This window comes from Homo sapiens, chromosome 9 (genome assembly GCF_000001405.40).
Source record: "Homo sapiens chromosome 9, GRCh38.p14 Primary Assembly".
In the NCBI taxonomy this organism is placed as follows: Eukaryota; Metazoa; Chordata; class Mammalia; order Primates; family Hominidae; genus Homo; species Homo sapiens.
The window spans coordinates 131180651-131205182 of NC_000009.12; the positions used below are offsets into that span (position 1 = coordinate 131180651).

Below are 24532 nucleotides of genomic sequence, written 5' to 3' on the forward strand. Positions count from 1 at the left end.
ACAGCTATTCAAATTCCTTTGCAGTGCTCCATCGCTTGATTCAGCAGATTCTTACACAGCGTCTGCTGTGAGCATGATACTGCCCTGGGTACTAGAGATAGGGTAGTTGAATAAGACAAACCAAACAAGAAGACAGCCGGGAAACTGCCAATTACACAAACACTTATTTTGGTGTGCATTCATTCATTTATTCATTCTTTCAACAAATACTTAATGAGCATTTGTTGTATGCCACACAGTATTCTTAGGAGCTGGAGATAAACTACCTGTTTTGTTGTTAACAAAATAGACCAAAAAAACTAACAGACTGATTGTTTGGAGAGACAAACAATAATCAAAATAAATAAGTAAAATATGTAATATATTAGATGGTGATATGGTGTGATGGAGAAAATTAAAGCGGGGGAAAGGTTAGAGAGTATTGTCTGAACATGGGTTATAATTTTAAATAGGGTGGCCAGGGAAGGCCTTCTCAGGAAGGTGACCTTTGAATGAAGAGAGAAAGGCCACACAGCAGGTCTCATTAATATCTCGGAAGAAAGCTCCAAGCACAGGGCCTGTAGCAGGAGCGTGTCTACAAGTTGAAGAGCGAGTCAGGGGGGACCTCTGGTGACGAGAGTAGAGGGAACAAGAGGAAGAATGCTGGGGGAGTAGGTCAGGAAAGACTGTTGGTGGACAGTGTCTGTTTGAGTCCCTGCTTTCAGTTCTTTTGGGTATGTATGTAGGAGTGGAATCGCTGGATTACATAGCTCAAACTGGTTTACAGAGGTGCTGCACCATTTTTCATTCCCAACAGCAATGTATGGGGGTTCCAGCTTCTCCACATCCTCACCAACACTCATTATTGACTATCTTTTTGGTTATAGTCATCCTAGTGGTATAAAATGGTATCTCACACTATCAGTGGTTTTGATTTGCATTTCCCTAATGGCTGGTGATATTGAGCATCTTTTCACGTGCTTATTGGCCAGTTGTATCTTTGGAGAAATATCTATTTAGTTCCTTTGCTCCATTTTAAAATTAGGTTGTCTTTTTATTTTTGAGCTCTAAGTTTCTTTATATAATCTGTATTCAAGTCTCTCATCAAGCATATGATTTGCAAATATTTTCTCCCATTCTTTGAGTTGTTTTTCACTTTCTTGTTGTGTCCTTTGACACGAAAATTTAGTCCAGTTTATCTATTTTTTCTTTTGTTGCTTGTGCTTTAGGTGTCACATGTAAGAAACCATTGCCTAATCCAAGGTCATAAAGATTTACACCGATGTTTTCTTTGAAGAGTTATGTGGTTTTAGCTCTTATATCTAGGTCTCTGATCCATTTGGAGTTAATTTTTGTAAATGGTGTGAAGTAGAGATCCAACTTCATTGTTTTGAATGTGGATATCCAGTTGTCCCAGCACCACAACATATCTTTTCCATCCTTTTATTTCAACTTATTTTGTCTTTATATTTAAAATGGGTTTCTTGTAGCACAGCAATGTGAATGTACTTAGTATCACTGAACTACATGTGCACTTAAAAATGGTTACTTTTAAGATGGCAGATTTTGTTAAGTGTATTTTACCACAATAAACAAAAATAATTTAAAAAAATAAAATGGATTTCTTATAGATTAGGGGTCCCCAGCCCTGGGCTGCAGACCAGTACCGGTCTGTGGCCTCTTAGGAACTGGGCCACACAGCAGGTGAGCGGCAGGCAAGTGAGCATTACCACCTGAGCTCCACCTCCTGTCAGATCAGCGGCAGCTTTGGATTCTCATAGGAGCATGAACCCTATTGTGAATTGCACATGCAAAGGATCTAGGTTGCATGCTCCTTATGATAATCTAACTGAATAAAATATAAAATTATAGCCTGATGATCTGAGGTGAAACAGTTTCATCCTGAAACCATCCCCCTCCGCTGTCCGTCTGTGGAAAAAATTGTCTTTCACAAAACCAGTCCCTGGTGCCAAAAAGGTTGGGGACCACAGTTGTAGACAGTATATAGTGGGCCTTAGCTTGCTTTTTTTTAATCTTGACCATCTGTGACTTTTAATTGGGGTGATTAGATCGTTTACCTTAAGTGTAATTATTGACATGTTTTGGTTTAAATCTGTTATATAGCTATTTGTTTCTATTTATCCCATCTGTTTGTTGTTCAGTTTTTGTTTTTCTGCCTTTTTTTGGGTTAAATGTCTCTATGACTCTATTTTAACTTTTTTGTTGACTTATTGGCTATAACTTGGTGTTATTTAAGTGCTTACATTAGGGTTTATAGTATACATCTTCAACTTATCACAGACTGTCTTCAAGTGATACTATATTACTAAAGAATAGTGTAAGAATCTAACAGCAGTATTCTATTTTCTCCCTTCACCACCTTTATGCTATTGTGCATTTTACTTCCACTGTATTGTAAACCTCATGATACATTGTTATAAACAGTTGACTATCTTTCCTCCCCACTACCCCCCAGATGGATTCTTCTTCTGTCGCCAAGGCTGGAGTGCAGTGGTGCGATTTCAGCTCACTGCAACCTCTGCCTCCCAGGTTCAAGTGATTTTCCTGCCTCAGCCTCCCTAGTAGCTGGGATTACAGGTGCCCACCATCACACCTGGCTAATTTTTATATTTTTGGTAGAGACGGGGTTTCGCCATGTTGGCCAGGCTGGTCTCGAACTCCTGACCTCAGGTGATCCGCCTGCCTCGGCCTCCCAAAGTGCTGGGATTACAGGCTTGAGCCACCGCGCCCGGCTGACTATCTTTTAAATACATTTAAATAAGAAGAAAAAAGTTTACATGTTTATACATATAGTTACCATTTCCAGGGTTCTTCATTCCTGTGTCTGGTCCCAGCTTGCCATCTGGTATAATTTTTCTTCTGCTCAAAGGACTTCCTTTAATGTTTCTTGAGGTTCATATCTGAATTCTTTTAGCTTTTGTATGTCTGCAGAAGTCTTTATTTCACCTTTGATTTTGAAAGATATTTTCACAGGGTAAAGAATTCTAGATTGGCAGTTTTTTTCTTTCACTGATTTAAAGATGTTCCTCTACTTTAAAAATAATAACTCTAGTAATGACCAGAAACTTAAAAGGAACTTTAATCCTTTTGTTTTTCTAATTACAAATGTTTGTTGTAGATATAAAAAAGATAGTTAAAAAGAACAAACTTAAAATCACCTTTATTCCCACCACAAATGTATGATTGTTATTTACACATTTTTTCATCCTTATTTTATGAAAATGTTTCTTGTTAGAGAAAAATTTGGATGCATGCTGCTTTGTAAATTTGTAACCTTTTCAGCTTAATCATGAAATGTAATCGTTTACATTTTCCATGTCATTAAAAATTCTTACACTATTCGTATTTTTTCTTTTCTTTTTCTTTTTTCTTTTTCTTTTTTTTTTTTTTTTTTTTTTGAGATGGAGTCTCGCTTTGTCACCCAGGCAGGAGTGCAGTGGCGCAATCTCAGCTCATTCCAACCTCCGCCTCTCAGGTTCAAGCGATTCTCCTGCCTCAGCCTCCTGAGTAGCTGGGATTACAGGTGTGCACCAGCACAGCCGGCTAATTTTTGTATTTTTAGTAGAGACGGGGTTTAACCATGTTGGCCCGGCTGATTTCAAATTCCTGACCTCAGATGATCCACCCACCTTGGCCTCCCAAATGCTGGGACTACACGCGTGAGACACTGCAGCCGGCCTCTCTCTTTTTTTTTTTTTTTTGAGATGGAGTCTCGCTCTGTCACTCAGGCTGGAGTGCAGTGGCACAATCTTGGCTCACTGCAACCTCTGTCTCCCGGGTTCAAGCGATTCTCATGCTTCAGCCTCCCAAGTAGCTGGGACTACAGGCACCTGCCACCACACCTGGCTAATTTTTTTGTATTTTTAGTAGAGACGGAGTTTCACCATGTTGGCCAGGCTGGTCTCGAACTCCTGACCTCAAGTGATACACCCACCTCGGCCTCCCAAAGTGCTGGGATTACAGGCGTGAGACACCGTGCCTGGCCTATTTTTTCATATTTAATGTGGATTTTTTCAAAGCTCTAATGCAATTCCGTCTTAATTATTTAAGTTACTTAGCATCTAAACATTCATGCAGGAAATACAATTTGCTTTAACAGACTTTTGGATACTATTTTAAAGAATGTGTCTTTGAAGACATTAAATTTACCAATGGAGAAAATAGTTGGCAGTTATATTTCCATCGACAGATGTCAAAAACGCCCAAGAATTGAATATAGAGTGTTTGTTTTCAGTATCTTCTATCATTTTCATTCTTTTTCCCTGTTGATTTCTTTGTTTCTTCAGTTACTCTTGATAAGTTCCACTCTCTCATATATGAGTATGTATGAAAAGATACATGTGATAGTGATTAAGATTTACCAAAATAAAACATAACCAGGTCTCTTGTTTTTTATGCTTTTTAAAATCCTGAAATAAGTTACAAGAAGTTGAGGCTTTTTACAACAATGGGATGAGTATTTACCTTGTTGAAGTTCATTAAAGTTGGAGGGATCAATAGCAAAGGGCCTAGGTGACATTTTAATGCTTCACAACCCAATTTTATAATTGTGTGTAGAGTACACATCCATGGAACATGTGTGCATTTGTCTGCCTCTGTTGGCATGTAGTGCTGGTAATGTGTGGCCAAAAACAGAAAAAAATGACTCTTCTGTGTTTTATTTTTCTCCAAGAACCCGAGTTTCCAGACTCTTAGTGATCTGTGCCTCTGTCGCTCATTTCTGAAGCAGGAACTTTAGTGTTGCTGGCAATGTCAGTGTCATTTGTAGACTCACTCAGTAAAGAGATGTCTCTTTGGGGCTCTGTTATAGCACCATTTTCTTCTTAGAACAAATATCAAGATGAATTTCTGATATTTTTCAACTCCATATTGCTAAAAAGTGGAATAAAGTCACCTAAGATATGGATACTTCTGAATTTGGCTTTTCTATCTCTTGATCATTTCTAGCTATTGATTTCCATTGTTTTGGTTCATGCTCATGCAAAAACGTTTGAACATATTTGTTTGAGAGTATACTGTTTTTTTCTGTGTGCTGTCTTGGATCTTGATAAGAGATTTATTGGATCTGGTTTGTTAATTGGTTTACTGGCTGATTGCACTGAACAGCATTTCTTTGCAGGGGTGTCACGTGGTGTGTAGGTACTGTGAATCCTAATTTTGTGTATTTGGGGATTTAGGATACTCAGGAGATACATAGAATTATCACAAATAAATAGAATAATAATTACACTCAGTCTTATTCATGCATAATTTACTATCATGTCACAATTGAATTCTGGCTGTAAAAAATTTTCTAAAATTTGGATAAATTGCTGCTTTTATTTTTATTTCTGATTTCTGTTTGTCTTTGAGAAAGCATGAAAGAGTTTCCTTTCCTTTGTAATCCTTGTGAGCTCCAACCTCTTCTCTAAGCAAGTCTGCTGTGTCTGTCCAGGTACTGCTCAGGGCCCAGCAGTCTCACTCACACATTCTTTTCCTCTGGTACAGATTCAGCGGAGGTGACGGGGGAACACTGTATCTGTATTGCCTGCTTGGTAAACTATCTCAGGGGAACAGAGATGTGTTTCTCCAGAGAGATGCATATTTATAGCTGCTTCTGGCTTCAGTAGAAGCATGAAACGGGTTTTGTTTCATTGAACATAAGTTCACTTTTTCTTCTCTCTCAATCTAATAAAGTCTGTTTAGGAAGGTCCCCTTGTTATTCCAGCAGAGAATCTCAATATGCTTGTAAGGTTTGTTAAGCTGTTTGATAATTTTCTTCCGTGAGGCACAGGCCTATCTTTTATCTTCTAAGTTCATTTTTGATGGAAAATATGAATCCTCCCTAAATCTAGGGGAGTTCTGAAAAATAACCAGGTCCTACAACTACTACTGCTATATATACCAGTCAGAGTAGCGCTGGGCTGACAACAGATAAATTGAAAAAATTGCCGCTAGGAGCCAAGAACTTTTGTGTGTGATTACACTAACAGGTAGTTTTCCCATATGTGAACACTAGTTATTGAAATAACAGTTCCTCACATACAGTATTCACCTACTTCAGAGTTAACAAAAGATGATGAGAGCTCTTTCTGCGAATAGGGGTATACTTTTCATGCTGTAGCAAAGATGCAGGTTGGGAATGGAACAGTGGTACATTTGAATCCCTTGGATGCTGACCTGGTGAGCCCTGGAGATAGCTGCTGTGAGAAGCTAAGATCTCTTTGGATAGCACCTTTGCGGTAGCAGCGAATTGGATGCATAGGTGGCAGTGAGAATGCTTCCCATAGAGCCTGCTTGGGTAAGAGAATCAGGAATTTCTCGTGGTCTACAACAGGGGGAAGGGCCAGGGAGGAGGAGGGCTTATACTCTGGATAGCAAAAAGATCTAGTTCTGAATGGTTACTAATTTTTTTCTTTGGATTGCAGAAAGGAAATAAGTTATAAGGCCACTGCTTTGACTTTCATGCTAAAAACCCAAAGTTCATTTTTAAAATTTATCCTTCAAAAAAAATGTCAAATCAGTTGTATTGGGGTCCCATGCATCTGTATCCTACCCAAAACTGGTATTGTATATTGGACAGAAGGTTGGCTTGAGAATGAATGTGATTTTTACCTAGTCATGCCTTTCTCTGAGTGTATGCTTTGTGTGTTTTTCAGTTCTTCAGTGCCCTACTCCACAGCCAAAACACCTCACCCAGTGTTGACCCCAGTGGCTGCTAACCAAGCCAAGCAGGTAACTTACTGATTTTTACTTTTTTTTTTTTTTTTTTTTTGAGACAGAGTCTTACTCTGTCGCCCAGGCTCAAGTGCAGTGGTGCGATCTTGGCTCACCGCAACCTCTGCCTCCTGGGTTCAAGTGATTCTCGTGGCTCAGCCTCCTGAGTAGTTGGGATTACAGGCACCCACCACCATGCCCAGTCAATTTTTGTAGTTTTAGTAGAGACGCGGTTTCACCGCGTTGGCCAGGCTAGTCTCGAGCTCCTGACCTCAGATGATCCATCTGCCTCGGCCTCCCAAAGTGCTGGGATTACAGGTGTGAGCCACCGTACCCGGCCTGAGTTTTACTTTTAACATTCATGCCGTGTCTGTCTTTGTAAGTGAAGACCATACTGTTTTTAAGTCTTGACTTTGTTTAAATGAACCATAAGTCTGATAAAGGCCCATAATCCCTTCCCCACAATTTATGCCAGTCTTGACATGGCTGTTAATCAGGGTAGGTCAGTCAGGACCTGATACTGTCTTCATAGGCCATTTAAACATTCTGCACCTAGTAATTTGGGGTCATAATTCTAATACCATACATTTTTATATGAAGTATTTTGCTTTGCAGTTTACTTTCACATTATCTCAGTTAACCCATACAACAGCCGTGTACAGTGGGAGGATAGGTGTTTAGATATGTCTCACTGGTGAGGCAGCCTAGGCTTGAGTGACCAACGCAAACTCTCACGATTAGTAAATGGTGGAACCAGAGCTGGGACCCAAGGCTTCTGACTTCCTCCTGTCCATTGCTCGTTTCACTACACAGTTGAGTATCAATGTCTGGGGTATAGGTTATCTGGTTTTCTCCTGCAATCCCTGTTTGTCAGAGTTTGCATATTTTTAGTGATGTTATGTCTAGCTTGTCTAGCTTCAGGCTTTTGCCTGATAAACATTGTCCCTTAGAAAAATAGGTGATATTGCAAACAGTTAAACAATCCAGAAAAAAGTGATAGGGGATGGTTGGAAGGTCAGTCAGGCTAGTGCTGAAACTCTTCCTAAGAAGTTCTGGTTTCTCTCACTACTCTTACATCTGTCTCTGAGATGAGTAGTTTGTGTTAGAGATCAGAATTTGAGACTGGATATCAGGACTTGCCTATTTAAGTTCTCAAACTTGCCTCTGTTCCTTAGTTTACCATAACTTAAAATGGCATTTAAGCATTTAGCATTCGATCTTTCTTCTGGAGGTATTTGTGTTCACCATGGAAAACACATGATAAGGCATAAGTCATGGCGAGTGAAGGAACATTGACTGGAGATGGATAAGTCAGTTTTGCTTTTAACCTTATTGTACATGCTTTGAGAGCTAGAACCATTTTATTAATTTACTCCTTCATTAATTCATCTACCTAATAGTCAAGTGCTTTTGATGTGCTAAGCACTGTGCTAGGCACTGGGAAGATAGCCATGAACTAGGCCAGTGTGACTGCCTTCTTGGAGCTTGCAGAGTATTTCTATTTTCATCCTTTAATATGATCTTACATATGGTTAACTTAAATTGAGACCTTTTTTTTGTTTCCTTTTTCTTTTTGGTAATTTATCTAAAAGTATTTGTCCTTGCTTATTTTAAATTATATTTTTGTGTTTACATTTTACATATTTCTTTGTTACAAAGAATGGTTAGTGGTTTAACATAAACATTTTGCTTGCATTCTGTTATAGGGGTCTCTAATAAATTCCCTTAAGCCATCTGGGCCTACACCAGCATCCGGTCAGTTATCATCTGGTGACAAAGCTTCAGGTCAGTTTGCATTTTTGTTTTCTTGAAAAGTGAAAGAAGCACTCCACAATAGGGGTTATTGTTCTGGATCACTGAGACAGTTGCCATAGGAAACAGGAGTCACATTTGATGAGATCGGGAGCATTCAGGGTAGTATGACCATAGACAAGAGATCATATTTGAAAGCCGTCAGCTAATGAAGAATTTCTAGAAAATTAGTATGCCCTTCAATGGCTATGTAGACTTCTGAAATTTTTAGGTTAGTTTGAAAATGATAGAGCAATAGGAGAAAAACCTCCCTTTAAATTCTTTTCCTAAAATGGAGCAATAGTATTATCTTTTTCTTCCTTGCTGGATGATCACAGTTGAGAGGAATGGATCAGAATGCTAAACGCTATTTCTTCCACTAAAAGGAATTAAAAATTCTGTTGGTCCACAGTGACAGTTCAAAAGCCTATAAGGTAGAGAAAGTGAAACAGATTTGTAAGATCTCAGAGTATATAATGAGTCGATATTATGAGATTTTATGGCTTCACGTAACTTCTCCTACACTCACTCAAGCATAATTATTCTTAATTTAGTTTTCACAGTAACCATGAGTGTTTTGACCAGACACTTTGTCCAAGTGTCATTGCCCAAACCAACTTTATGCAGAATGTGGGTCTTCCTCAGTGTCCCCTTTTGTTGGCTCCTTTATTATAGCCTACCTAATTTGGCGTGTATTACTTCCTGCTGCAAGGGTCTTGTGCTGTCTGCAATACTGAATTTTTACAACACTGTTGATTCTGGCATTTGTTTCAATCATGCTCTTAAGTGGGCCTTCAAGCAAATTCTGTTAGAAATTGAACTTCATACATTAGCAGCCTGCGTCTCATAATCTTAATCATACAGTCATTCTGACTTTCTCTGTAATCCCAAACTTTCTGATTGGATACTGGATTTATCTTTAGTAGCTATTCCTTGCAGAAGGAAGCCATTATTGCATAAGCCAGAGTTGTATTCTAGAATTCGGAGTGATATGGAACCACAGTTGGTATCATGTACGCCTCACATGAGAAGGAGGTATCTAGCACTTCTCGACCGGGGCCTAAAGCTTTATGTTAAAAGGAAAATTATATAGTAGAACTGTCAAAGACTTGAGTATTTTACAAAAAGGTTTTGAAAGATCATATACTCTTTTTTCAAGGACTTCATTGGAGAGGTTTTTGTCACTCTTGGAGTTAGAATCAAAGAAACCTAAGGAACTTTGCTTTATGCATGTCTGGGCAAGTAGTGTGACTTGCAAGAAATTTCCGAGATTCACCATTCATTGCTGATCATGAAATCCTCTCTTTTGTTACGAGGTGTTCACTTCTGTTTTCACTTGCCAGGTAATCAAGGTTTAGAAAAGAACTTTTTTCTTTTGGTAGGAAAACTTCCCTGAAAGGTGCTGCTTAAGAGTTTGCAAAAAGTTTCTTTTTGAAAAAGAGCATTTCTAAAACCTCTAGAGAATAGTTCTCTTATTAGTAATGGAAATACCTTCATTGTTTTTCTGATTGTAAAACTATTACATGCCCAGAAAAAGCCTATGGTGTAGAGATATATAATGTAGAATGTGAAAGCTGCCCTATAGATTCTGTATTCCAGAGATCATGATTTCATGTATATCTCTTGAGGTTACTTCATTGTTTTTTAAAGAAAAATATCCTATATACTGTATATCCTATATATATTGATTTTGTAACTTATTTCCCCTTCTCTGCCCCCTCTTACAATAAATGTCTTGGTCTCTGCAGGTCTGATACAGATCCACCTTACTCATTTTAAGAGCTGTCTACAACCTCATTGTGTAGTTATACCCTGTTAAATTTAACTAGTACTCTGCTGATGATTTAGATTGTGACTTTTCATCCTGTACATTTTACATTGTATATCAGTAGTTTTAAAAATATTTGTACTGCCATCTACCCTGTGTTTGTTTATTTTAGAAGGTTGGTGTTTTTTTTTTCTTGTTGTTGTTTGGTTTAGTTTCGTTTGATTTGGGCTTTTAAATAGTTTTCCTCTTTCCTTTCCCCCTTTTGAAGTGGAGCAAGGCCAGGCCTGGTGGCTCATGTCTGTAATCCTAGCACTTTGGGAGGCCAAGGCAGGCGGATCACCTGAAGTCAGGAATTCGAGACCAGCCTGGCCAACGTGATGAAACCCTGTCTCTACTAAAAAAAAATACAAAAATTAGCCGGGCATGGTGGTGCATGCCTATAGTTCCAGCTGCTTGGGAGGCTGAGGCAGGAGAATTGCTTGAACCTGGGAGGCAGAGATTGCAGTGAGTCAAGATTGCGCCACTGCACTCCAGCCTGGGCGACAGAGCGAGACTCTGTCTCTAAATAAATAAATAAATAAAGTAGAGCAGTAGGGAAAAGATTGAAGATTGTACCCAAACTATAAGTAAGTAGTTAGAGTGAAATCGAACATGGGGAGAATGATGGATTGCACTTTTAACCTTTTTGCATGTCTCCATATTATAGCAATCATGTTTTACATCTGTAATTTTAAAAAAAGAACACGATTATTTGTTAAATGCCAACAAAATCTGTGGAAAATGCAGAAATGTATATAGAAGTAAACAGCCTTAAAGTCACTACTCAGAAATATTTAGCTTATGAACCTATTTCTCTTTTGGATTTTTGTCCTTCAGCATAGATTAATTTCAAATAATTATAAAGCTACATTATATATAGTTTTATTTACTTTTGTGGGGAGGGGGCTTAGCCTCACATTATAAGCATTTTCCCATACCATTGAAATATATAAGAGTGTACTTTTAAAACTGTACATTTAAACTATACTAGAATTATTTTGATATATTTTCTGTAAAGGAGAAGATGGCACACCTTAGACTGGAATTAACATTGACAGAGCCACGGAGCAATTTCAGAGACCTCAAACACAAGTGAGGCAACGTGCTCACTCCCCATGGCCACTGACGTGTCACAGAAGGCACATGTGGTGCTAAGCAGCACCTCACAGGCTGAGCTACAGGGAATTATACACTGGAACAGTGTTTCTGTCTTTTTGTAATATTCTTTTTTTTTTTTTTTTTTTTTTTTTTCCATAATTTCAGGGACAGCCAAGATAGAAACAGCTGTGACTTCAACCCCATCTGCTTCTGGGCAGTTCAGCAAGCCTTTCTCATTTTCTCCATCAGGGTCAGTAATGAACTTAAGTTTTATGGCAAATTACTAGCAATTAGCTTCCCCAAATCTTACAATTATAGATATATTTATTTACTTATTAAATGTGTATGAACCCAGAGTTCTTACCGTGGCAGTAATACATGTGATGATAGTGGCAATAGTTTAATGTTCTCATGTAAATCGATTTTCCCTTTGCAATTCAAGTTAATACTTGTTTGTTACATATTTGTGTATCTGTTTTGTTTTTTAGCCTAAGCCTCATTTTCTTTGAGTAATGAGTCTGCTAAATTCTGTAGTTCATCTAGTTTGTCACACTGAGATGTTTCCATTCTGACACCATTTTGGGGGCTAGATGTGACATTCAAATTGACTTTGCTGGACAAACATGGTGGCTCATGCCTATAATCCTAGTGCTTTGGGAGGCCAAGGTGGGAGGGATTGCTTGAGGCCAGGAGTTGGAGACTGACCTGGGCAACATAGTGAGACCTCATCTCTACAAAAAATTGAAAAATTAACCAGGTACGTTGGTTCACTTCTATAGTCCCAGCCACTTGGGAGGCTGAGGTGGGAGGATCCCTTGAGCCCGGGAGTTCGAGGTTACAGTGAGCTATGATCACACCATTGTACTCCAGCCTGGGCAACAGAGTGAAACCCCGTCTCCAAAAAAAAAAAAAAAAAAAAAAAAAAAGGCTTACTGCATCGAGAGTACAGTATACTAAACTTAGAGAATGTAATGAAAGATAATAGGCATTTGAAATTTGAGGTTTTATATAGATGTGGAGGAATCTGTTTCCGTTTCTTTAAAAAATAATAATAATAATGATGGCTGTACTTGTAAAGTTGAGTTGTTTTTAAAAATGAAAGAATCTTCTATACCTTATCTCAAGATGAGCCTTTGTTAAGGTGCCTGTTCTCTGTGCCCTGAGCGCTCATGTTGAAACCTGTGTGAGCTGCTGAAGCATTGGGTTAGACTCTGTGGAACTGAGATCAAAATGTGTCAAAAGGATTTTTTGCCATTGAAGCATTGTGCATTCAGTTCCTTAGAAAAGCCTCTTAAGTTCTTCAGTTTATGCTTTTGTAACTAGGAGCATATTAACCAGTCTCTTTTTCCTGATTTTAATATATTTTTTGAGTGTCCTTCAGCCTAAGGAGAAAAGAGGGTATTAGAATATTATTTGAGGGGGAAAGTAATACATATATTTTTTCTTTATTATAAATCATTATGTTTTATGCTTCCCAAAGGTAATTTGCAGCAAATTTTAAAGAGTAGGTCAATGCCAAGAATTATTGCATCCTTTACAGATGGCTAATAATCAGTCTTCTGTGAAATGATATTCTTCTTCCTTTTCTTTTTTTTTTTTTTTTTTTTTTTTTTTTTTTTTGGATTTTCAGGCAGAGTATCACTCCGTCACCCTGGTTGGAGCGCAGTGGTGAGATCTCAGCTCACTGCAATCTTCACCTCCCGGGTTCAAGTGATTCTCTTGCCCTAGCCTCCCAAGTAGCTGGGATCACAGGTGTGCACCACCACACCCAGCTAATTTTTGTATTTTAGTAGAGATGGGGTTTTTTCATGTTGCCCAGGCTGGTCTTGAACTCCTGGCCTCAAGTGATCCACCCGCCTTAGCCTCCCAAAGTGCTGGGATTGTAGGCACGAGCCACTGCACCTGGCCCTCTTCCCATTTTTAAAATAACCCAGAAAAGGTGGGGTCATTGAATCAATGGCTTGACACTATTAGATAAAATTTTTTCACTAAGAAAGGTTGTGTTTTTTTTTTTATTTTTAATATGATGGGCAAAGGTGTCTAAGTTATTACATTATTTAGTATATTTGATGTGCTTGGTTCGTTATATTTTAAAGCTAGTTTGAAATCTGCAATTTGAACTTTGCGTGTGTGTGTGTGTGAGATAGAGCAAGATTCTGTCTCAAAAAAAAAAAAAGGTGCAGTGGTACAGTCATGGCTCACTACAACCTCCACCCCCAGGACTGAAGTGATCCTCCTGCCTTAGCCCCCCGAATAACTGGGACTACAGGTGCGCGCCACCACACCTGGCTGATTTTTGTTTTTTAATTTTTCGGTTTTGGTTTTTGGGGGTTTTTGTTTTTGTTTGTTTGGTTTTTGGGTTTTTGTTTTTGTTTTGTAGAAACAGGGTTCCACCATGTTGCCTAGGCTGGTCTCAAACTCCTGGGCTCAAAGGATTAACCTGCCTCAGCCTCTCAAAATGCTGGGATGTGAGCCACCATGCCTGGCCTGAGTTTTTATCACAGTGAATAATCTGTTCTGATTCACACTCGCGTGGGATTTTCTTCCTTAGCTATGGTGTCTTCACTTACAGTGTAAAGAAAACGTACAAAAGGAGAGAGGAGATGGTGAAAGGAGTCACAAAGTTTTTGAACTAGATTTTCCTAGCCGTAAAACTCAGTTCTGTCAAAATGACTGAGTTAGGGCTTCTATTTCATTGTATCCATTGTTTTCCCTAGCAGTGTGGGGCTCTCTGACATGCTTGTTGGTCTTGGAGGGGTTCTGAGAGGCTCTCCCTAGTCTTAAGTGCTTCTGTCTTACCAGACCTTCCTTCTGTCCCCTCACTTAACAGACCATCTGCTCCGGCCACCATTCCCACATGCACATTTGTCATGTGTCTCTACTGCTGCAGCTTTGCTCATCTTGCAAGAAGTCCCCACTCAAACTTCTGCTACAGAAAGCCCAGCCATCCCCCAATGGGCTCTCAACTGCTATCCCTGTCGTATCTCACACACAAACTGCTTCTCTGCTTAGAGATCATAGAGTGGCCTTACTGCTTCTGAGATAGGTGCTTTGACTCTGTTGTCATTTATCTTCTAGATTGTAAATTCCTGAGGGCGGTTTGTATGAATGAATGATAAAATGGAATATTAAGAGGGCAATATTGTGCCTTGGTTTGTTCCTTTTTAATTTCTCTTTTTCCACTTGTTAGGACTGGCTTTAATTTTGGGATAATCACACCAACACCGTCTTCTAATTTCACTGCTGCACAAGGTACAGACTCTGTGTTGAGTAGCATTACTCATGTGTTTTCTCTAAATAAGTACAGGTTATTTTTGCCCACATGTTAGTATTTGACTTGTTCCTGAATCTTACTTACAGTATCTGCAATAAGCTCAGTGTTGATAATGTGCATTAGAAATATGCTTAATTTAAGAAACTGATGTGAAGGATTTCTATTTTTATAATTAAGGACAAGGAAAGGATTTGCTTCTAGAAAATCAGGGCTGTGCTTTAACATTTAAATGTTAACATGTGAATTAAAATTTCTCCATTTTTTGTCTGTAATTTAAAATTTCTTCAATTTATAGGGTGATTCTGTAGGGCAAGATAGACATGGTAATAGATAGACTGTAGAAATGAAAGACCAAACTCGTTTTTTTCCTTGATAACATACCAGCAAACACACTCATCCCATGCATGTTGTTAAAAATCCATCAATAGACTGGGCGCGGTGGCTCACGCCTATAATCCCAGCACTTTGGGAGGCCGAGGCAGGCGGATCACCTGAGGTCAGGAGTTCAAGACCAGCCTGACCAACATGGAGAAACCCCGTGTCTACTAAAAATACAAAATTAGCCAGCCGTGGTGGCGCATACCTATAATCCCAGCTACTCAGGAGGCTGAGGCAGGAGAATTGCTTGAACCTGGGAGGCAAGGTTGCAGTGAGCCAAGATTGTGCCATTGCACTCCAGCCTGGGCAACAAGAGTGAAACTCTGTGTGTCCCCCCCCCCCCCCGCGCCAAAAAATCCATCAATAGCATGTTTTTAACATTTAAAAGAATTTGAAGCCCTATAAAGAAACCAGATCTATTTGTTAAGTGCCTTTCAGTTATCCGTTTATGATTAAGTCTTTTATTTTATTTATTTATTTTGAGATGGAGTCTCACTGTTGTCATCCAGGCTGGAGTGTAATGGCGCAATTGCAGTTCACTGCAACCCCCACCTGCTGGGTTCCAGCGATTCTCCTGCCTCAGCCTCCCTAGTAGCTGGGATTACAGGCGCCCACCACCACATCCAGCTAATTTTTGTATTTTTAGTAGAGACAGGGTTTCACCATGTTGATTGATCAGGCTGGTCTCGAACTCCTGACCTCGTGATCCACGTGCCTTGGCCTCCCAAAGTGCTGGGATTACAGGTGTGAGCCACCACGCCCGGCCTCGTTACTCTTGTATTTATTAACCACTGTTGTTTGACCAGGCCTTATGGGTGCTTTACCCATATTTCCTGCGATCTTTGTAACAGCACAATGAAGGTAGGTATTGTAATGATCTAGATTTTCCAAATGGGGGAATTGAGGCTCAGAGAGGTAAAGCAACCTTTCCAGATTCACACAACCAGCGAGTGGCAGAGTGCATAGCTCCAGAGCCCATGTCCTTGACCACCAGACCGTACTGCCTCTGTCAAATAGCTGACTTAGTAGAGCACTAATAAGTAGCCATTAATTGTACATAAAAATGATTTTCTGTGGACTGACACTTTATTTGCTCATAAAAATGAAGGAAGAACTTCCATTTTGAATCAAGTCCTGGTCTATCAGGAGGTCCACAGGCCATTGCTGTGCTGAGGATGTTATTAAGGAAAGCACACAGCTAGGGTAAATTAAGGGAAGAGGCTTTTTTATTTCTCTTTGGGATAATATGTTAATTTCACATATTCTAGATATTTTGTATTTGTTGTGATTTAATGGTCATAAAAAAAGTATTTTTTCCTTTTCACCTCAGACGACTCAGAGCTGATGTTTGTGTGGAGAAGCACTCATTCCACCTCCTTAGAGAAAGCTGCTGTGAGAACAAGGCACCCTGACTCTGTAGAGGGAGGAGAGAAACTTTGGCTTAGAAACACAATCAGTGGAAATGTAATGGGTCATCTTTTGCTAAATCCAACCCATTTTCTGATTTCTTTTTCTTGCTAGGGGCAACACCCTCCACTAAAGAGTCAAGCCAGCCGGACGCATTCTCATCTGGTGGGGGAAGCAAACCTTCTTATGAGGCCATTCCTGAAAGCTCACCTCCCTCAGGAATCACATCCGCATCAAACACCACCCCAGGAGAACCTGCCGCATCTAGCAGCAGACCTGTGGCACCTTCTGGAACTGCTCTTTCCACCACCTCTAGTAAGCTGGAAACCCCACCGTCCAAGCTGGGAGAGCTTCTGTTTCCAAGTTCTTTGGCTGGAGAGACTCTGGGAAGTTTTTCAGGACTGCGGGTTGGCCAAGCAGATGATTCTACAAAACCAACCAATAAGGCTTCATCCACAAGCCTAACTAGTACCCAGCCAACCAAGACGTCAGGCGTGCCCTCAGGGTTTAATTTTACTGCCCCCCCGGTGTTAGGGAAGCACACGGAGCCCCCTGTGACATCCTCTGCAACCACCACCTCAGTAGCACCACCAGCAGCCACCAGCACTTCCTCAACTGCCGTTTTTGGCAGTCTGCCAGTCACCAGTGCAGGATCCTCTGGGGTCATCAGTTTTGGTGGGACATCTCTAAGTGCTGGCAAGACTAGTTTTTCATTTGGAAGCCAACAGACCAATAGCACAGTGCCCCCATCTGCCCCACCACCAACTACAGCTGCCACTCCCCTTCCAACATCATTCCCCACATTGTCATTTGGTAGCCTCCTGAGTTCAGCAACTACCCCCTCCCTGCCTATGTCCGCTGGCAGAAGCACAGAAGAGGCCACTTCATCAGCTTTGCCTGAGAAGCCAGGTGACAGTGAGGTCTCAGCATCAGCAGCCTCACTTCTAGAGGAGCAACAGTCAGCCCAGCTTCCCCAGGCTCCTCCGCAAACTTCTGACTCTGTTAAAAAAGAACCTGTTCTTGCCCAGCCTGCAGTCAGCAACTCTGGCACTGCAGCATCTAGTACTAGTCTTGTAGCACTTTCTGCAGAGGCTACCCCAGCCACCACGGGGGTCCCTGATGCCAGGACGGAGGCAGTACCACCTGCTTCCTCCTTTTCTGTGCCTGGGCAGACTGCTGTCACAGCAGCTGCTATCTCAAGTGCAGGCCCTGTGGCCGTCGAAACATCAAGTACCCCCATAGCCTCCAGCACCACGTCCATTGTTGCTCCCGGCCCATCTGCAGAGGCAGCAGCATTTGGTACCGTCACTTCTGGCTCATCCGTCTTTGCTCAGCCTCCTGCTGCCAGTTCTAGCTCAGCTTTCAACCAGCTCACCAACAACACAGCCACTGCCCCCTCTGCCACGCCCGTGTTTGGGCAAGTGGCAGCCAGCACCGCACCAAGTCTGTTTGGGCAGCAGACTGGTAGCACAGCCAGCACAGCAGCTGCCACACCACAGGTCAGCAGCTCAGGGTTTAGCAGCCCAGCTTTTGGTACCACAGCCCCAGGGGTCTTTGGACAGACAACCTTCGGGCAGGCCTCAGTCTTTGGGCAGTCGGCGAGCAGTGCTGCAAGTGTCTTTTCCTTCAGTCAGCCTGGGTTCAGTTCCGTGCCTGCCTTCGGTCAGCCTGCTTCCTCCACTCCCACATCCACCAGTGGAAGTGTCTTTGGTGCCGCCTCAAGTACCAGTAGCTCCAGTTCCTTCTCATTTGGACAGTCTTCTCCCAACACAGGAGGGGGGCTGTTTGGCCAAAGCAACGCTCCTGCTTTTGGGCAGAGTCCTGGCTTTGGACAGGGAGGCTCTGTCTTTGGTGGTACCTCAGCTGCCACCACAACAGCAGCAACCTCTGGGTTCAGCTTTTGCCAAGCTTCAGGTAAGAATTTGTGGAAGCTTTTTACTTGTTTCCCTCTCTGCTATTTGAAACATTAGCAACAGACCCCTATTACTTTTGTAATTAAAGGGGAGACTCAAAACCCAAAAATAATCTGTAGGTTAAAGAAGACAGCTTGGAGCACATGTGGTCTCAGGAACTTGTTTGGCCTAATTGGCTGGATCTGTTACAGCTTAATGCAGCTCCAGTTTTGCTTCTTAGCAAATTGTCCACTCTGCAAGCCACCAGAGTGTGTTTCATGGGGAAAAATCAAGCATCTTTAGTTGAGGTCCTGCCAAGTAATTTAATGAACAATAAATAGGAAATTTCAAATTTGGAAGGCACTGTAGAGATCATTATACCCAAAGCTGTCAAGCCTCAAGGAGACTGCTCTAATGTCAGGATAGTGCCAGTGGAACCAGCAGGAGAGTCCAAGTGTCATCATAGTCCACCGCCCTGCCAGTGTTTTCTGTCTCCTCTGACACCATCTTTCTTACTGTAATGGCAGTCACTGACATTTGATTTGGGTTCTTTTCTATTTTCAGTGTTATGACTTTTTGTAAAAACTACAGTTTACTGTTTTTGACAGTGAAACCTAATTCTTCTCTATTGCATTTTCCATTTTAGCAGCTACTTTTACTTCTAAAAGTTATCAATAAGCAAGGCAATTTGAAAATCTGTCCTGAGATTTGCTTTCTGAAAGTTATCTTATGAAAGGTAATTCTTCAGCAATAGACTCTAGGAGAAAAGCAAGGATCAATGATTTCATGGTGGGCAAGATTACTAGTAACTGCTAATTCATTATTCGATGATAACTTGAAAATGGTTCATAATTTATTAGAAAGGAAACATTTTCCTTTCTTCAACAAATGTTTGTTACACTCCTCCTAAATTCAGCTATAAGGACACGGTGTTGAAAAGACAGATATGGTTTTGAGACCTACCCAATGCCCTGTGAAGAGGCCAGAGGGCTGCTGAATGATGGGAAATGTGCTGACTTGGTCCAGAAAATGGGCAAGGAGAAGGCCCTATGAGTCTTAGAGGAGAACGTGTAACACAGTCCGTATCACTACCACACCATTTGCTCTGCAGTCAGAACCTGAGAAGACCTCATGCACAGGCATGGTCATACTATTTCAACAAATTCAGAACCCAGGAAGGAATCTTCTTTCATTTAGTATCTGTGCGGAAAGGTATCTGAGCTGTCTACTTCAGCCCTAGTTGAGGAATTGAGTCTTGTCTAAGCTCACCTACCCAATCAGTGACAGAAATGAGAATAGAGGCTGGGCATGGCGACTGACGCCTGTAATCCCAGCAATTCGGGAGGCCGAGGCAGGGGAATCACTTGAGGTCAGGAGTTTGAGACCAGCCTGGCCAACATGGTAAAACCCCATCTCTACTAAAAACACAAACATTGCCGGGCGCGGTGGCTCACGCCTGTAATCCTAACACTTTGGGAGGCTGAGGCAGGTGGATCACCTGAGGTCAGGAGTTTGAGACCAGCCTGACCAACATGGAGAAACCCCATCTCTACTAAAAACACAAAATTAGCTGGGCGTCGTGGCAGGCGCATGTAGTCCCAGCTACTTGGGAGGCTGAGGCAGGAGAATCGCTTGAACCTGGGAGGCGGAGGTTGCAGTGAGCCAAGATCGTGCCACTGCACTCCAGCCTGGGCAATAGAGCGAGACTCCATCTCCATTAAAAAAAGAAAAGAAACGAGAGTAGAACTCCTGCCTTCTCACTCCTTGTCTGGAGCTCTTTTGTTGTATAGTTCTGCCTCATGTTCCCAGGCCCTGTTCAGCTCAGCACTTCAACCATGTTATGCCATCTGGAAGAAAGATAAACTACCCTGAAAAGAATGTGGTATCTGAGATTCAGAAGAAACCGAGGAGTAGAAATATTCATAATATTAAGTCATTAGAAAGAATTTCTGGTCACTGAAAGTGAGGATAAACTATTCTTAGCCCCCATCCACGTGGGGTTTGGTAGGAGAGGATTCATTCCCCAGGGCTTTAGAACTTACACTATTTTAAAATGTTAGCAATGAAAAATGGTCTTTAAAGTATTTGCTCAGACTTTTCTCCATACTAGATGAGGAAACATTTTATTCATAAGTTGATTTATTATGGGCTATCTTAGCACACCTGAATGTCATTTAAAAAGAAATAAACTTAGGCTGGGTGCGGTGGCCCACACCTGTAATCCCAGCACTTTGGGAGGCCAAGGTGGGTGGATCATGAGGTCAAGAGATCAAGACCATCCTGGCCAACATGGAGAAACCCCGTCTGTACTGAAAATACAAAAATTAGCTGGGCGTTGGGAGGCGGAGCTTGCAGTAAGCCGAGATCGCGCCACTGCACTCCAGCCTGGGCGACAGAGCAAGACTCCATCTCAAAAAAAAAAATTAGCTGGGCATGGTGGCACACACTTGAGTCCCAGCTACTCAGGAGGCTGAGGCAGGAGAATCGCTTGAACCTGGGAGGCAGAGGTTGCAGTGAGCCAAGATCCCACCATTGCACTCCAGCCTGGTGACAGAGCGAGACTCTGCCTCAAAAAAAAAAAACAACAAAACTTTAATGTTGTAAAAGACTCATCCAATCCAAATTGAATTTTTGTTTTCTTTGTATTTTACAGGTTTTGGGTCTAGTAATACTGGTTCTGTGTTTGGTCAAGCAGCCAGTACTGGTGGAATAGTCTTTGGCCAGGTAAATATGCATTTGTCTTCATTCACGTCAACATGTATCAAACCCATTCAGTTTTCTTCACTGTAATGTAGTCAGTTCGTGTTGTATATCTAAATCCAGCAAATATAGCCCTGTGTGGTTCTTAAGCTGTACTCCCTTCAGCTGCCTTGGAGGTGCAGAAGTCTCAGCCTCTGATTAAAGAGGATCACTAGAATTTTGATCCTCCTTCCACAGTCTTCTGAGAAAGTATTTTGAAAGCACATTGCCTGATTCCTTTTTTCTTTAGACACAGGATCTTGCTGTGTTGCCCAGGCTGTAGTACAGTGGCACAATCACAGCTGACTCTAGCCATAAACTCCTGGGCTCAAGCAATCCTCCTGCCTCAGCCTCCCCAGTAGTTTGGATTGTAGGCATGCACCATAACACTCAACTAATTTTTTATTTTTGTAGAGACACAGTCTCGCTATGTTGTCCAGGCTGGTCTCAAACTGCTGGCCTCAAACGATCCTCCACGCCTGACCACATTGCATGATTTCTATCAGTCCCCTGCCTGTTAGGCCAAGGGTTGACAAACTTCAGTCTGTGGGCTAAATACACTGTTTGGCTTTTGGGGGGTTTGTTGTTGTTTAACTTCTTAATCTAAGAATGGTGTTTGTGTGTGTGTGTCTATATGTATACATATATGTGTGTACACACACACACACACATATATATATTTTTGTTTGTTTGTTTGTTTTTGTTTTTGGAGGCAGAGTCTAACTCTGTTGCCCAGGCTGGAGGACAATGGCACAATCTTGGCTCACTGCAACCTCCGCCTCCCAGGCTCAAGTCATCCTCCCACCTCAGTTTCCCAAGTAGCTGGGACTATAGGTTTGTGCCACCACACCCAGCTATTTTTTTTTTTCTTTTTGTGTTTTTGGTTGAGACGGGGTTTTGCCACGTTGCCCAGGCTGGTCTGGTCTCTTAACTCCTGAGCTCAGGGTGATCTGCCCGCCTTGGCCTCTCAAAGTGCTGGGATTACAGGCGTGAGCCACTGTGCCTGGCCAGTTTTTATATTTTTAAGTGGTTGTTTAAAAAGAAAAAAGAGGAAGAAGATTTGGCAACATATATATCCCCTCTGCTACGCTATATGTAGCCCAGAGACTCCTTTTGGTGAACTGAGCTGTTTGATTTTATGTAGCTAGCAGTTATCTATGTGCCAGGCATAATTTTAAGTCTTTTATTTATTTATTTATTTATATTTATTTATTTACTTATTTTTTTTTTTGAGACCGAGTGTCGCTCTTTTGCCCAGGCCGGACTGCAGTGGTGCTATCTCGGCTCACTGCAAGCTCTGCCTCCCAGGTTCACGCCATTCTCCTGCCTCAGCCTCCCGAGTAGCTGGGACTACAGGTGCCCACCACCGCACCCAGCTAATTTTTTGTATTTTTAGTAGAGACGGGGTTTCGCTGTGTTAGCCAGGATGGTCTCGATCTCCTGATCTCGTGATCCGCCCACCTCAGCCTCCCAAAGTGCTGGGATTACAGGCGTGAGCCACTGTACCCAGCCAATTTTAAGTCTTTTATACAAATTAACTCATGTAAGCATCACAGCACCTCCATAAGATAGGTGCGATTATTATCGCCATTTAAGAGATGAGGACACCGAAGGCCCAGAGAGGTTAAATTGACTGTTACATCAGACACCGGCTGCATTTAGATCATTTAGATCATAGTAACCTCCTAAGGAGCCCTTATGAAGAAAGATACCCTAATTTATCAGAAAGGATTGTGACTTTCTGAAGGTAGAATTTGTATTAGTCCGGCAGTTAATAAAGTGGTAGGCATAATATATGTTTCTTATACATCTTCAGGAAGAAATTTTCTTTATCATCTCTGTTTTCCTTTGAAGATAGGCTCTGTCCTAGTCAGTGATCTTTCTTAAGAGAGAAGTGAAACTTCTGATTTCCAGTTTCTGGTAGTAGAGGACTAAGTCATTCAAGGGAACCAAGTTCCCTACTGAAAACTACTAAAAAATGCTAGATAAAACATAAAAACCTTGTCTTTAAAAGCACCAATAAACTAACAAGGTATTTTACCAAGCCAAAAGGAAAATGGGGACCTAGAGAAGTGGAGCCCAGAAGCCAGTTGTGCCCTGACAGCATTTACTAATCTGAGAAAATGTGAATTTTCTATTTAATAACCCCAAAGGTAAAGGGACAAAAATCACCAACTAAGATATGCACAAAGTGGGGAGTCTAAAAGAGACCCTTCAGCTGGGACTCCATGTTGACAGGTCTCAGCCCCTGACTAGACTGATATGGTTCCAGAGTGATGCTGCCTCCAGGTGTCTGGCAGAGGCAGCGCAGGCCCACCCTGAAGGAAAGGAACTTTACTTAGCCTTCGAATTACTCTTACAAGTAATTTCTGTCCCTCAATGAGACACACAAGGAAACCAGGAACTATGAGCAAGAGCCAGAATAAGCGTCAGAAATCACCTTTGCACAGACTACCTAAACTGTAAATCAGCTGGGGCTTACAGAGTTTAGAAGAAATCAAAGACAAACTTGAAAATACCAGTAAGGAATATAAAATCTTAAGAAGTGTCATAGCAAATTTGAAGAAGAACCAAATAGAATTTCTAGGAAAATGTAATGATTAAACTCAGGTGTAAACTCAGTGGCTGTATTTGGAGCAGATTAGACCCACTGAAAGGAGCAGTGGTGCTCTAGAACAGAATGTGGTAGTCAGCGTTTCCAGCTTTGAGGGCTATCGATAGCCTCTGTCAGAAGCACTTAACGCTGCCATTGTAGTGCAGAAGCAGCCGTAGACAATATGTAAACGAATGCGCATGATTGTGTTCAGTAAAGCTTTGTTTACAAAAACAGGCAGTGAGCTGGATTTGGCCCCTGCGCTGTAGTTTGCTGACCTAACTAGAAGGTAGGTTAAGGTGAGTTACCTGGAATGCATCACAGAGAGCGAAATGAAAGATACAAAAGAGAAAAAATCCTGTAGGAGAAAATCCAACACACATTTAATCAGAGTCCCAGAAGGAGAAGAGAGAAAGACAGAACCTTCCAAAACTAATCGATAATAGTAATCCACAGATTCAGAAGCCCAACAAGTGCCAAACGAGAATGCATAAAAGGAAACTGATTCTAAGACCTGTCCTAGTGATACTGAAGAACACCAAAGATGAAATATTAAAAGCAACTAGAGAAAAAAGACAGATTATCTTCTAGGGTGCCATAGGCAGACTGACAGCAGACTTTTCAGCAATGACCATGAAAGCCAGAACTGGCCACCTAGCATTTCTAAATCCAGCAAAAAAATATCTATAAAGAATGAAGAGAAATCAAGACTTTTTTTCAGATAAGCAAATACTGAAATAATTTATGTCTAGCAGACCTGACTCCAGTCTGGGCGACAGAGCAAGACTCCATCTCAAAAAACAAAAGAAATTCTAAGAGATACTGTTTGGAAAGAAGGAAAATTTGACCTCACTAAA

General features: G+C 41.3%; 1 protein-coding gene across 3 annotated transcripts in view, besides 1 other annotated feature; it reads left to right on the forward strand.

Moving 5' to 3' along the window:
- NUP214 (nucleoporin 214) overlaps positions 1-24532 on the forward strand; it is a 109078-nt gene that overhangs the window by 55065 nt on the left and 29481 nt on the right. For 2 of the 3 annotated variants that reach the window (NM_005085.4, NM_001318324.2), the window contains exons 25-30: positions 6639-6714; positions 8403-8481; positions 11558-11642; positions 14583-14644; positions 16566-18365; positions 20997-21067. In NM_005085.4, the coding sequence (NP_005076.3) occupies positions 6639-6714; positions 8403-8481; positions 11558-11642; positions 14583-14644; positions 16566-18365; positions 20997-21067 (2173 nt within the window). Of the gene's footprint in view, positions 1-6638; positions 6715-8402; positions 8482-9488; positions 9831-11557; positions 11643-14582; positions 14645-16565; positions 18366-20996; positions 21068-24532 lie in introns of those variants that run through there. The other variant, NM_001318325.2, reaches the window with a different exon arrangement.
- Positions 23558-24112: an enhancer, noted in NCBI's record as "OCT4-NANOG hESC enhancer chr9:134079595-134080149 (GRCh37/hg19 assembly coordinates)". NCBI's record gives its function as "activates a minimal SCP1, AML or CMV promoter by ChIP-STARR-seq in naive H9 embryonic stem cells {active_cell/tissue: H9 hESC(naive)}" and the evidence as "EXISTENCE:reporter gene assay evidence [ECO:0000049][PMID:30033119]".